This window comes from Homo sapiens, chromosome 5, assembly GCF_000001405.40.
Source record: "Homo sapiens chromosome 5, GRCh38.p14 Primary Assembly".
Classification (NCBI taxonomy): domain Eukaryota; kingdom Metazoa; phylum Chordata; class Mammalia; order Primates; family Hominidae; genus Homo; species Homo sapiens.
The window spans coordinates 80,607,883-80,623,246 of record NC_000005.10 but is presented as its reverse complement, the minus strand read 5'-3'; the positions used below and the strand labels follow the sequence as shown (position 1 = coordinate 80,623,246).

At 41.2% G+C, this 15,364-nt stretch overlaps 1 long non-coding RNA gene across 1 annotated transcript; it reads left to right on the top strand.

Moving 5' to 3' along the window:
• Positions 1-722: 722 nt before the first annotated feature.
• Positions 723-14,627, top strand: LINC01337 (long intergenic non-protein coding RNA 1337). Its single transcript, NR_125754.1, has 2 exons — positions 723-839; positions 14,302-14,627. It is a non-coding gene; the product is annotated as a long intergenic non-protein coding RNA 1337 (long non-coding RNA).
• Positions 14,628-15,364: the final 737 nt, after the last annotated feature.

The following is a 15,364-nucleotide window of genomic DNA, read 5'->3' as shown; positions in this document are numbered from 1 at the left end:
ATCACCCTAGAAAACTCCCTCTTACCCCTTTCCAGTCAGTCCTCAACCCCAACCCCCAGAGGTAACCACTATTTTTTTTTTCTCATTATAGATTAGTTTTTCCTGTTTCTGAACTTCATATGAATAGAATCATATAGGATGCACTCTTTTGATCTGGCTTATTGCAGCATGATTTGAGTTTCACCCAAGTTGTTCCATGTATCAGTGGTTTGTTCCTTTTTATTACTACGTAGTGTTAAAAGATAAGTCAAGTCCTATTAAATGTTTTAAAGGGTTTGAGCAAACAGCAATTCACAAATTGGGCAGCTCCAAACCAAGAGTGGTTCAGGGCTCTACCAAGAGAATGCAAGGAAAAGGCTTTTGTAACTTGGAAGCAAGGCAAAGAAAATAATGGCTTGGTTATGACTGTGTAGTTGCCTTATTTGGTCTCCCCCCCGCCAAGTCCCTTGTTATATAAGTCAGTTGGTGGCTACTGATTGAACTTAAACTTCATTTTGCTTTAATGCAGGTATTTACAAAAAAAAAAAATAGTCCAAGTTAAGTTTAGCTTATCAAGGTCAAGTTTGTGTCCAAGGCTTAACTGGCTTTGTCTGCTGAAGAGATTTACAGTCCTGGTCCCCATTTTCTCTTATTCTAACGGTAATATTCCATTGTACAGATGTGCCAGTTTATCCATTCTTCTCTTGATTTTAAGGTGGGACTCAAGACTGGCCTTGAAGAGGCTAGAAAAGCAATGACTAAGGGTCAGGACAAGAACAAATACATATTCCAGGCAGAGGGAAAGCCATGAAGAAACTTCATCTCCAGATTCTAAAACCCAGGACAAGCCCTTAGCAAGGGTGGGTGAGTTGTTATTAGGCCTATATTAGTCCGTTTTCACACTGCTATGAACAACTGCCTGAGACTTGGTAACTTATAAAGAAAATAGTGTTTTTTTTGTTTTTGTTTGTTTTTTTGTTTGTTTGTTTTGAGTTGGAGTGTTGCTCTGTCACCCAGCCTGGAGCGCAGTGGCGCGATCTCAGCTCACTGCAAGCTCTGCCTCCCAGGTTCACGCCATTCTCCTGCCTCAGCCTCCCAAGTAGCTGGGACTACAGGTGCCCGCCACCATGCCAGGCTAATTTTTTTTGTATTTTTAGTAGAGACGGGGTTTCACCATGTTAGCCAGGATGGTCTCGATTTCCTGACCTCATGATCCACCTGCCTCGGCCTCCCAAAGTGCTGGGATTACAGGCGTGAGCCACCGTGCCCGGCCAGAAAAGAGGTTTAACTGACTTACAGTTCTGCATGGTTTGGAAGGCTTCAGGAAACTTATAATCATGGCAGAAGAGGAAGCAGGCATGTCTTACATGGCACAGGCAAGAGAGAAGAGAGCAAAAGGGGAAGAGCCCCTTATAAAACCACCAGATCTTGTGAGAACTTGCTCCCTATCATGAGAACAGCATGGAGGAAACCACCTCCACAATCCAATCACCTCCCACCAGGTCCCTCCCTCGACAGGTGGGGATTACAATTCAAATTACAATTTGAGATGAGATTTGGGTGGAGACATAGCCAAACCTTATCCAGGCCCCACCTCCACCAAGTACTCCACCTTTGCTGTGCCTTTCAATCTGTTCTCTTTCATAACCGCATCTAGTTCATGTCTTTTTGTCTCTTACTTAGACGGCTGGAGAAAACTAAACTGATAGTTTCTCAATCTCTGATCTCCGTCTCCAACAGTCTCTCATAAACATGGCCACAAAGACAATCTTTATTTATTTATTTTTTTTTTTTGAAATGGAGTCTCACTCTGTCGCCTAGGCTGGAGTGCAATGGCGTGATCTTGGCTCACTGCAACCTCCACCTCCTGGGTTCAAGCAATTCTCCTGCCTCAGCCTTCCGAGTAGCTGGGATTACAGGTGCCTGCCACCATGCCTGGGTAATTTTTTGCATTTTTAGTAGAGATGGGGTTTCATGATGTTGGCCAGACTGGTCTCGAACACTTGACCTCAAGTGATCCACCTGCGTCGGGCTCCCAAAGTGCTGGGATTATAGGCGTAAGCCACCGTGCCTGGCCCAAGACAATCTTTCTGAACAGCATCTCTGATTATATCACTTTCTTTCTTGCCTCCTTAATGCTCCCCCGGCTAAGGCGAAACCCCACTTTGGTCTTTAAGGCCCTCTACAGTGGCATTAACCAAACTCTCCAGATTTACCATCTACCATTTTCACTCCCTACATGTTGTACACAAGCTACCTCGGCTCTTCACAAATCCCCAGACAGACCCCAGCTTTGCCACTCCCATGCTCTTCTTTATGCCACTCTCTCTGCCTATAATTCCTCCCTCCTCACATCCTCCAATGCAAATCCTACCTGTTCCTCAAAGCCCAACCCAAATCCCAAATTGAACCTGTCATGAAGCCTGCCTTCTCACCCTCTTCTGAACCATGCAGCACTACCTATTTCAGCCCTTAAATACTGTTTTTCCTTACAGCTGTTTGTTATTCTCATCTCCTCTCCTTTATCAATGAGGAATGTTTTCAGCTGCGAGTGCTAGAAAATCTAACTTACAGTAACTAAAACAAATTGGGATTTTGCTGACTCTGATTGATTGATTGATTGATTGATTGATTGATTTGCCCTCAAAAAATCAAACCAAACTTGGCATTGCAAGATGGCTGCTACTGCTCCAGAGAGCAGGCCCATGTTCACAGTAGGAAGAAGAAATATAGTGTCAGGCACATATTTCCTTTTTGTCTAGAAAGCAAAACTTGCCTCAAATCCTCCTTCCCCAAGCAAACTCTCCCCTTATATTTCAGCGGCTAGAACTGGGGCACGTGGCCACTCCTCGCTGCAAGGCAGGCTAAGAATGTGGAACAAGGATTGTAGTCACTGACTCATTCACATCAGTGGTTCTTAACCCTGGCTGCACACAGAACCAGAGGGATTCTTCAACGTCTGGCTTCACCCCCAGAGAGTCTAATTCTAATTTATGCACATCAGAATTTAGGAGCACTGGCTTAAAACCAACCTTGATTCATCATCTGGGTCTGGCATATTGCTCCCCAACAAACAAAATGAGGGTCTCTTGGCAAGAAAAAAAATGGAGAATGGAGAGAATACAATTAACCATGTTTACTTTTATCTACCCTGTCATATGGCCAGCTATTTCAGGGCAGAAACCACATCTTATTTACTTTTGTCTTCCTGCAAGATGTCTAGAATTCAAAAATGTTGGAGATTAGGTAGACAGATATTGATATATATATTGCAATATGTGTTAAATGTAATTTTGCATATTGTCTTTGGAATCTCATAACCTGTATAACATTGATTCATTAGGAGAATTGGCTTCAAGTCTTAACCAATTTACAAATGAACTATTTGTTTTTTAAAAAAAATCCTGAGGAGGAAACAATCCATAGTTTTTTGTTTGTTTGTTGAGACGAAGTTTCATTCTTGTCACCCAGTCTAGAGTACAGTGGCTTGATCTCGGCTCACTACAACCTCTGCCTCCCGGGTTCAAGTGATTCTCCTGCCTCAGCCTCCCGAGTAGCTGAGACTGCAGGCCCGCACCACCACGCCCAGCTAATTTTTGTATTTTTGGTAGAGACGGGGTTTCACTACGTTGGCCAGGCTAGTCTCGAATTCCTGACCTCAGGTGATCCACCTGCCTCAGCCTCCCAAAGTGTTGGGATTATAGGCTTGAGCCACCATGCCTGGCCAATACTTAGTTCCTTTAATGATGTGTTTGTGTGTTGGTTTTATTCTATGATAACTGAATAGAAAACCATGCTAACTTATTTCTTACTTACTGTGTACCTGGTGGCCATGTGCCCAAAGTATGGGCAAAATACCTAGAAAGGAAATCTTCAGCTTCCTCCCCAGCCATCCTGCTATCTGCTTTCCTCCCAGGTTACTACAGATTCCAGTCTCTTCCTGTAATAAAAAATTTCAGACCATGTGACACACAGACACACAGTCTCGTGACATGCTAGCACAGTGCCTGGGGGAAAAAATCCTGTGACCAATCTAGGATTGAAATATCATATTTAACTGCTACCACATATTCAAATTCATGATGATAAATTCTATGTGACATCCACATTTGGAATTTATCTGGCATTTCATTATATTAGCCACATTGCTATAAATTACATTCCCAATTGATTAAACAAATTTGTTCACTTTCCCTGTCTTACCTTAAAAGTGAAAAGCAATGCTGTTCACCCACTGTGTCAGTAAAGGACTCGCTAGCTGCCTTGGCAGATAAAACCCCAAATTGCAATGACTTAGCACAAGGGAAGTTTATTTCTTATGCACCTGAAGTCCAACATGGGTGTTTTTTTTCTTTTTGTTTTGTTTTTTCTTTTTGTCTTACTTTGTTGCCCAGGCTGGTCTCAAACTCCTGGCCTCAAGCAATCCTCTTACCTCAGCCTCCCAAGCAGCCACTATGCCCAGCTTACCACAGGTGTTTCTGATCCACAGGCAGCCCTCCAGGTAGTGACTTAGGGATCCAGGCTCCTTCCATCTTGTGGCTTGTATCTTCAAGAAGGGATTTCCAAGGTTGTTGCCAAAGAGGAAAGTGCATGGAGGACCACATGTGGGAGGTTTGGCGAGGAGGGCGGGCTGGGAAGTTGCACATACTACTTTTACCCACATTCTTCTGGCCAAAACTTCATCACGTAACCATACCAACTGCAAGGAGACTGGGAAATGTAGTCTAGCTCTGAACCAGGAGGAAGGCGACACAGGCTTGGTGAACAACTAGCCAGGCTCTGCCATACCTATAAAAGGAAAAAGACATACCAGGCTTACAACTTGACTCTCGCTTCCCCACATTTTTCAATTTTTTGGATCTTTGTTTTGGAATTAAGAGATTTGGGTGGAGGGTTTGGAAATGCATCTTGCTTGTAGTGAGGGTCCTTGAGGTGTTTAAAACCAGAAGACTCAAAGGAGTTAATGCTAATTATTCTTTAATGGTTGTGAGAAATAAAAGCAGAGTTCAGCTCTCCTTAGAAAAGAATTCCATATTTTAGGAAAGTGACTCATTTATGAGCAGAGACAGATGTTGCATTATCTCCCTTGTAAAAATGCAATGAAAGCCAGGTGCAGTGGCTTTCACCTGTAAACCCAGCACTTTAGGAGGCCAAGGCAGGAGGATCACTTGAGCCCAGGAGTTCAAGAACAGCCTGGGCAACATAGCAAGACCCCATTTCTAAAAAAATAAAATAAAAAATTTAGCCAGGCATGATGGCACCCACGCTTGTGGTCCCAGCTACTCTGGAGGCTGAGGTGGGAGGATCACTTGAGCCCAGGAAGTCAAGGCTGCAGTGAGCTGAGATTGTGCCACTGCACTGCAGCCTGGGTGATGGAGTGAGACCTTGTCTCAAAAAAAAGGAATGAGTACTATGCTTGGCTGGCATGTGGAGATAATTTTATCATATAGACCCTTTTCCTACATTACACATTGGGCTTGGGTTTTAGTTCTATATTACCTATATTTTCATTGCCTATGTCATTATATTTGGTAAAAAGTGTTCTGTTGTGGGATATGCTATTCTCATTTATCCTTTCCATCTAGACTAGGAAGCCTGTCCTTGCCTAACAGGCCATTAGTAACATAGACTTCTCCACATTCTGTCCTCAAAACTCAACGCTGGAAGATCTTTGTTCCCGGATGTAAGGGAGAGGGAAATATGAACCATGTGGCCTTCTTTGGTGAATGTTCCCTGCTGGGCTTCACCACCCAGTGTTCTCCCATGCTCACCCTCGGGCTGTGTGACAACTCAAACATTTTTCTCACTTCCCAGCTCTGCAGGACTTTGTGGCATTCTGGTTGAAATTAAGAATGTTATCAATTTGCTTAATATGAACTCAGAGAGGAGCAGAAGACATGCTTATTCAGATTGAACAGTTCTGCATTTCCAGCGTAAAAACTTTAGCTTTGGCTGGGCGTGGTGGCTCATGCCTGTAATCCCAACTACTCGGGAGGCTGAGGCAGGAGAATGGCTTGAACCTGGGAGGCGAAGGTTGCGGTGAGCCGAGATCACGCCATTGCACTCTAGCCTGAGCAACAAAAGCGAAACTCCGTGTCAAAAAAAAAAAAAAAAATCACTTTTACTCTGGTACTTAATCATATTGCTCAGAGTTTTCCACAGAAACAGAACCAATAGAATATATATATATTATATATATATATATATATATATATATATATATATATATATATATATAGAGAATAGAACCAATAGAATATATAAAGATTTATTTTAACCAGAACCTATTTTCCCCAAAGCTAGCCATAAAAACTAAACATATTAGTCTAACCTTCCCCCATTTCTGTATAAAAATGGGCCATAAATTCTCTGACCTACCTTGTTTGATTGTAGGTCATAAGCCTCCCATTCTAGGAAAGGTCCTGCCCTGTACCCTGGAGGAATGAGTGCTGCAGAGGGGCCAAGAAGAATCTGCACAGACGAATCTTGCTGGGTTGCCCCCTCTCTGGTGCCATTAAGTCACACCCTTTTGTTCAATCACAGTTCTACATGGCCACCCATTCTTCATCGAATCTAAGCATAAAAATAGACAGTTTTTCTGGGGTCTTTCAGTCTTCATTCTGAAGGCTCCTGTGTTGCATAAAACTAGGATTCAATATGTTTGTTATGCTTTTCTCTTGTTAACTTGGCTTTTATTACAGAAATGTCAACCGTGACTCTTATAATGGTTAGGAAAAGGTATCATCCCTTTCCATACCTACACAGGTGTTAACTATATCTACAAAATACTTTCATAGCAACACCTAGATTCATGATTGTTTACATCACTGAGTACTAAAGCCTGGCCAAGTCAGCAGAGAAAACTAACCATCACAGCAATCAAAGTGACAAAATGCAATTGTGCTATATGCCTCCTTGGAGTTATTCCATTTTCACATCAGAAAGTGTCTTGGGAAGAAGGCAACATTCTCTTTAAGTACTGAAGTCACATTTGTTGATCTATCAGTATGCTTAAGAGTTTGTGGTTCAGTCTAAGCAAAATGACAACCACATTCCGCAGGTTGTTGATTTGTGGTTGGGTCTTAATTGTCACCTCCTTCCCCATAGTTCAGTGATTTTTCAAGCTTAGATCAAAAATGAAAAGTGAACTCGAACTTTGAAGATTATCTTCCCTATGCTCCTGAAATTCCAGCTCAAATAGGACATCCCACTCTTGCTTTTTTATCAGTGCTTGCAGGTATTTGCAGCTTTAAAAAGCATCCTTCTGGAACATCAAATCTGAAAATATTCCAACAGCCGGCCTTCAGCTCGGCAAACTTTGAACAATGATGTCCATTGAATGCAGTTTCTCAAAATCTGTTTCTTTTCATAGCCTGTGGCTTGTGAGTGATTTCTGGGAAATGTTGATTATAAGATAAGCTCTTTTCAGTCGGTTTCAAAAGGTGACCCCCAGGGTAGGTAACTGTCAGGCAGAGGCATCTTTTCAGAGAAGCAAGAGGGTGAGCAAACTCCTCTGCCCCCGCTATTGTCGCTATTGTCGCAGCAGCATCATGAAGCTGCCCATTCAATGCATGAAAGGCTGCGCAGGCAGGGGCGTGGGATGGGATTGGGGAGCTTTGGCGTTTTGTATTTTAACTTTTCAGCACAATGTTAGAGCTGGGAGAGGGCAGGACAACAGCCCGCGTTCACAAGACCCAGCCCTCAGATCCGTCCTTGAGTCACTCTGTTAAGTGGAACCGGGTAATTGTCTGTTTGGAGACCTGCAGAAACAGCTCGTGGGAAAGAACTATTTGTACCTGGAATATAGTCATTAGCTTATGTGTCAAAAGGCCACACGTGGATAAAGCCATTATCCTGGCATTCTTTGCACTCTGGCAGCCTTGAGGCTAGCAGTGCAGAAGCCCATATGCAGGCGTGGCTGCTGTCTTCCTCTGTAGCCCCGCGGGCAAGCACTGGCAGGTGGAGGTGGTGGGAGGGCAGCCGAGACTCCCCTGGATTTGGGTAGAGAGAGAGCAGAGAAGGCGGATGCCTTGTACACACAGGCACTGTAATCAGGGCCTCTTTTCAGTTTCTTGAGACCCTCCTACTGGTCTCCATTGAATTGAGAGGGGATTTGGTTTCCCTTGCTGGCTGTCTCTGCCCACTCACATTTACAATTACATGTTTTTCATTGTCATAAAATACATGTAATATGTGCCCTTTTTTCCACGTGGACCGCCATCAAAATCTGCACAAAGACAATGCCCCTTGCCCTGAAATGGTGGAAAGAGCACTGGCCTCAGAGAGAGAAGGCTTGGGTTTCAATTCTGGGTCCCCCTTGGAATGTTCATTAAAATCACTAGTTGCAAGGAACAAACACTAGAATCACCTCATGTGATTGGGCGGGACAGGGTGTTGAGTGTCAAGATACACACACAAACCAAAACCTGAATGTGAAGGCCCCATGGCCCAGGGACCCTGCTGGGAGTCAGTTGGGGTCTCTTTCATGTATATATATTCATATATATACCAATGGATTAATCTACTCATGAATTAATGAATTAATAGATTAGTGGGTTAATAAACTAATGGATGGCTTCATAAGAAGAGGAAAACAGACCTGAGCTAGCATGCTCAGCCCCCTTGCCATGTGATGTTCTGTGCCTCCTCAGGGACTCTGCAGAGAGTCCCCACCAGCAAGAAGGCTCTCACCAGATGAGGCTCCTCAACCTTGGACTCTCAGCCTCCATAACTGTAAGAAATAAATGCCTTTACTTTGTAAACTACACAGTTTTCAGGTATTCTGTTATAAGCAACAGAAAATGGACTGTTTTCTTTGGACATCCATGAATATGGAGAGATGGAGCAAGGCTCTCTGAGGAGGAGGAGCACATGCTTGAAGAATGTGAGCCCCAGAACTGGCAGCCAATGTGAGATGGAGCTGGCCAAGGACTATAGATATGTAAAGGTCAGGGCAACACATGCTTAGACCATAAAGTGTATATATTATACCTGTCAAGGTAATCTATATTTGGGGATGAAAGTGAAGGACAACATCTCACATATTCCTGCTTTTCAGTAAAAAAGGACCTGGGAAAGTCATCATTTTTTCTTATAAACCCAGAATAATTCATAGAGAATGCTAAGAGAAAACACAATTGTTGAGGTTTACACAAGCAAGTACATTTTTTTTTAGAAGTTTCAGTCTCCATAATATATTAAAAGTTGAAAAATAGAGAAGAAAAAAAGCAAAAGCTGATAGAACAAATGAGCAAATGATATGAAGGTCACAAAATAGCCCTTAAACAGAAATGGCTCTTAAGCATATGAAAGGCTGCTTAACATCACTAAAATTAAATAAATGTCAATTAGAACTGCACCATAAAACTCAAAGCTTAACATCATTCTCAGGTATAACCCCTGTGAAGGGAAATTTGGCAAAATGAAGCACACAGCACTACTTATGTAGTCTTTTTGCCAAAAAGTTTAATCTGAGTTAAGCCTCTGAACTCAAATTTCAATTTATAGGAAAGACACGGACATAAAGGAGGAAGTCAAATAGTACCATCACAAACCCAGAATGTTAGACTTTTTTTTTTTTTTTTTTTTTTTTAAAGAAAGCTAGCCTGTGTGGTGGCTCACACCTATAATCCCAGCACTTTGGCAGGCCAAGGCGGGTTGATTACCTGAGGTCAGGAGTTCGAGACCAGCCTGACCAACGTGGAGAAACCCCGTCTCTACTAAAAATACAAAATTAACCAGGTTTGGTAGCATGTGCCTGTAATATCCAGCTGCCTCAGCTCAGGAGGCTGAGGCAGGAGAATCACTTGAATCCAGGAGGCAGAGGTTGCGGTGAGCCAAGATTGCACCATTGCAACTCCAGCCTGGGCAACAAGAGACTCTGTCTCAAAAAAAAGAAAAAAAGAAAAAAAGACAGCTAGCCTGGACCCTTACAAATGTTAAGGTCATAAACTTGAAATGATCCAAATGCCTACCAACAGTGGAATAATAGCAGTCATACAATGGAATGCTTAAATTACAAATAACAGAATAATTTCACAAATATGAGGTTGAGTAAAAGAAACAAACAATACTCTTGAGTTGCATTTACATAAAGTTCATAAACAGAAGAAATTAATCTATGGTGTTAGAAGCCAGGATAGTGGTTTCACTTAGAGGGATAGTGATAAGAAGGAAATGGGCTGTTCAATTTGCGAAAATTCGTAGAGTTGTAAATGGGATTTGTGAAACTTTTCTTCCTTTTTAAACTTTTTTTATTGTGGTGTGGTGTAACACATACAGTGACATGCATAAAGTATAATAATCTTAAAAAGTACAGTTAGATGATATTGAACATTTATATGCACCCTGCAACCACTACCCAGATCAAGATATAAAACATCTTCAGCACCCCAGAAGGTTCCATGATACTCCATCCCAGTCTATATCAACCCCCACTCCATATATATATATATATACATATATATATATATATATATATATATATATATATATATATACCACTTTTCTGACTTCTATCATATTTGATTAGTTTTTTCTGTGCTGAACTTCATCAGACTTCCATGTCTGATTTGCTCATGTCTGACCTTTTTGGCTCAGCATAATGCCTATGAGATTCATTCTTATGTTGCATGTATCAATGGTTTGTGTGTTTTTTTAATTGTCGGCCGGGCACAGTGGCTCACACCTGTAATCCCAGCACTTTGGGAGGCCGAGGTGGGCAGATCACCTGATGTCAGGAGTTCGAGACCAGCCTGACCAACATAGTGAAACCCTGTCTCTACTAAAAATACAAAAATTGGCCGGGTGTGGTGGCGAGTGCCTGTAGTCCTAGCTACTCAGGAGGCTGAGACAGGAGGATTGCTTGAGCCTGGGAGGCAGAGGTTGCAGTGAGCTGAGTTACCATGCCACTGCACTCCAGCCTGGACAATAGAACAAGACTCTGTCTCAAAAAAATAAATTAAAAAATTGTCATGTATTAGTCCATTGTATGAAATATAGCACATTATGTTTATTCTTCTGTTGATGGATATTTGGGTTTTTTCCAGTTTTGAACTATGAATAATTCTTGTACATGTGTTTTGATAGATATAGCCACTCATTTCTCTTTGGTTATTAACCTGAAAATGGACTTGCTGAGCCTCTGGGTAGGCATATATTTAGCTTCAGTAGATAGTACCAGTTTTCCAAAGTGATTAAACCAACTTTACTCCTACCAGTAATATATGAGAGTTTCAATATTTTTGTAACCTCATCAACTCTTGAATTTCTCATTTCTAATTTTAGCCATTTTGATAGGTGTATATTTCATTGTGGTTTTAATTTGTATTTCTCTTATGACTAATGATATTGAATACCTTTTCATATGCTTATTAGCCATTTGGATATCTTTTCAACATAGCTTGTATATTTGTCCCTACCCAAATCTCATGTTGAATTGTAATCCCCAATGCTGTAGGTGGGGCCTGGTGGGAGATTTTTGGGTCATGGGGATGGATCTCTCATGGCTTGGTACTGTCTTTGCGATAGTCAGTTCTTGTGAGATCTGGTTATTTAAAAGTATGTGACACCCCCAACACACAAACATACTCTCTCTCTCATTCCTACTTTTGCTATGTGACATGCCTGTGCCCCCTTTGCCTTATGCCATGACTGTAAGCTTCCTGAGGCTTCCCCAGAAGCTTAGCAGATGTTGGCACCATGCTTCCTGGAATGCTTACAGAACTGTGAGGCGATTAAACCTCTTTTCTTTATAAATTGCCTAGTCTCAGGTGTTTCTTTATAGCAATGCAAGAATGGCCTAATATGCTTTTCTTGTGGAGTACCTGTTAAGTCTTTTACCACTTTTTTAAACACTTGGGTTGTCTTTTTTTTATGGATTTGTAGGAGTTCTATATATATTCTGGATATCTGAGAACTTTCACAAATATAAATGCAGAAGCTATCTTCTCAGCCGGTGGCTTTGTCTTAAATGTGTCTTATGCTAAACAGACATTATTTTAATGAACTTCAATTTATTAGTTTTTTTTAGGTTAATGTTTTCTTATTTCCCATTTTAGAATTATTTGCCTCCATAAGTCAGGAAGATATTCTTCTAAATTTTCTTTCAGAAATGTTATTTTACTTCACACATCTAAGTCTATGATCCACCTTAATTTTTGTATATGATCTGAGATAGGAGTCATGCTTTTTCCCCCAATGTCTTAGTCTATTTGTGTTGCTATAAAGGAACACCTGAGGCTGGGTATTCCTTTATAGCAACACACTGTGTGTGTCTGTGTATGGGAGGGGAGGCCGGGGTGGGGGTGGGGGAAGATGTAGAAAGAGACAGAGAAAGCAGATGTGCAAAATGTTAACAATTCTTGAATCTAAGCTGTATTTTTCTGAATACAATATATTTTAGTTTATAAAGAAGAGAGGTTTCTTTGACTCACTGTTCTGCAGGCTGTACAAGCAGCATGGCACCAACATCTGCTTCTGGTGAGAGTCTCAGGATGCTTCTATTCATGACAGAAAGTAAAACAGAGCCAGCATGTGTGGAGATCTCAAGGCAAGAGAGAGAAAATAAAGAGTAGGAGGTGGTGGTGGAGGTGCCAGGCCCTTTTTAAGGACCAACTCTCTTGGGTACTAATAAAGCAAGAACTCACTCATTACCTCAATGACAGCACGAAGCCATTCATGAGGGATCCTCTCCCATGACCCAAACACCTCCCATTAGGCCCTACCTCCAACACTGGGGACCAGATTTCAACATGAGGCTTCGGGGACAAACATCCAAATTATAATACTCATATCAATATCCCATTGCTCCAGGGCCATCTATTGAAAAGGGTATATTTTCCTCCTTTGGATTGCAGTGGTGCTTTTGTCATATGTTAAGTGACTATATATGTTTGGATCTATTTCTGGACTCTGTTTTGTTCCCTTGATCTTTTGTCTTCCCTGGAGCTAATACCACACTATCTCAATTATTCTAACTTTATGGCAAATCTTGAAATCTTATTGTATAAGTCCCCCATATTTGTTCTTATTCCACATTGCCTTGCCTATTCTACGTGCTTTGCAGTGCCATATAAATTTTAGAATCAACTTGTCAATTTTCACACAAGGATTTGCTGGGGTTTTGATTGGGATTACATTGAATCCAGAGATTAATTTTTTTTCTTTTGCTTTTTTAGACAGGGTCTTGCTCTGTCACTCAAGCTGGAGTACAGTGGCATGATCACAGCTCACTGTAGCCTTGAACTCCTGGGATCAGGACTACAGGCATGCATCACCCTGCCTAGCTAAGCTTTTTTATTTTTTGTAGAGGCAGGGTCTTATTATGTTGACCAGGCTAGTCTGAAACTCCTGGCCTCAAGCAGTCCTCCCACTTCAGCCTCCCAAAGTGCTAGGATTACACGTGTAAGCCTCCACCCTGGGCTGAAGCTAGAGATTAATTTTCAGGAGTTAATATCTCTCCATTAATTTAGCTCTTCTTTAATTTCTGTCATCAATATTATATAATTTTCAGTATAGAGGGAAGGTCTTAGACATCTTAGATTTATTTGTGAGAATTTGGTGCTTTTTGATGTTATAATTGAATTGTTTAAGTTTTTTGTCTCTAGCATATAGAAATGATTTTTGCATACTGACTGTATCAAGAGGCCTTGCTAAATTCATTTATTCTAATAGCGTATGGATTCTTTTGGATTTTCTTTGTACATGATGATGTTTACTTATAATGCTGGCTACGATCTCCAATGATATTTATACTTTTCTGTATGTATAATATACTTCAGTTGTTTTAATTTAGTGACAAAACTGAGTTAAACTAAAGAGACTAAAATGACATAACCAAATGTAATGCATGAAACCTGATTGGATCTTGATTTTTTAAAATGTATAAGAGGTTTGCTCCTACAATGAAAGAAATTTGAACATGATCTGAACATTAAATGATTGAATGAAAATATTGTTAATTTTCTTTAAAATACTTTGATTATTGTGTTGTAATTATATAGAAGTGTACTGTTCTTAGGAGATGAATGTATTTAGAGAAATAATCACGACAAATATTCATCAAAAGTGTGTGTGTAGAAAGAGAGAGAGACAAAGCAGATGTGCAAAATGTTAACAATTCTTGAATCTAAATGGAGACTTGTGGTACACAGGCTTACAGTAGTTCCCATGATTCCGACTCCTGGTGTTCATACTCTTATGTGACACCTCTCCCTCTCCCTTCTTGTGAGCAAGAACTGTGACTTGCTTCTGGACAATAACATATGGCAAAGGTGACAGGATATACATGATTACCTAAGTTCTCTCTTTTTCCTTTATTAGCTTTGAGGAAGCAAGTGAACATCTTGGGCAATCCCAACAAGGAAGTAACATGGCCTCTATGGGGTGAGGGTAGCTTCCAGCTGACAGCCAGCAAGAAACAGAAGACCTCAATCTTATAGATGCAAAGACCTGAATTATGCCTATAATGTGAGTGAGCTTAGAAGTTATTTTTTCCCCCAGTCAAGCATCTGATGAGACCACAGCCCTGGCTGGCATCTTGTACAGTCTTGTGAAACCTTAAGAACAGGATCCAGCTAAACCATAGCCAGCATCTTGAGCCACAGAAGTTGTGAGATAATAAATATATGTTGTTTTAAGCTGCTAAATGTGTGGTAATATTATTGTACAGCAATAGAAAGCTAATACAAGATGTGATGGTTAATTTTATGAGTCAACTTGACTGGGTGCCCAGATACTTAAACATTATTCTGGGTGTTTCTGTGAAGGTGTTTTTTGTTTGTTTCATTTGGGTTTCATTGTTTTTGTTTTTATTTTTGTTTCAGGGACAGGGTCTTGCTCTGTTGCCCAGGTTGGAATGCTATGGTGTGATCATAGCTCACTATGGCCTCAAACTTCTAGGCTCAAGCCATCTTCCCACCACAGCCTCCCAAAGTACAAGGATTACAGGTGTGAGCCACTGCTCCCAGCCTTGTGATGATGTTTTTTGATGAAATTAACATTTAAATTAATAGCCTGAGTAAAGAAAATTGTCCTTCCTAATGTGGATGGGCCTCATCAAATCAGTTGAAAGCCTGAATAGAATTAAAAGGCTGACCCTCACCCAAGTAACAGAATTCTTCCTGCCTGACTGCCTTTGACCTGGGACATTGGCTTATTTTTCTCCCTTTTGACTCAAACTGAAACATCTGCACTTCCTGGCTCTTGAGCCTGCTGGCCTTTAGACAGAAGCTACACTGTTGACTCTACTGGTTCTCAGGTCTTTGGACTCAGATTGGAACTGAACCATTGGCTCTCCTGGGTGTCTGGCTTGCTGATTTCACCCTGAAGAACTCAGGACTTGTCAAGACTCCATAATTGCATGAGCCAATTCAAATCAATGAAT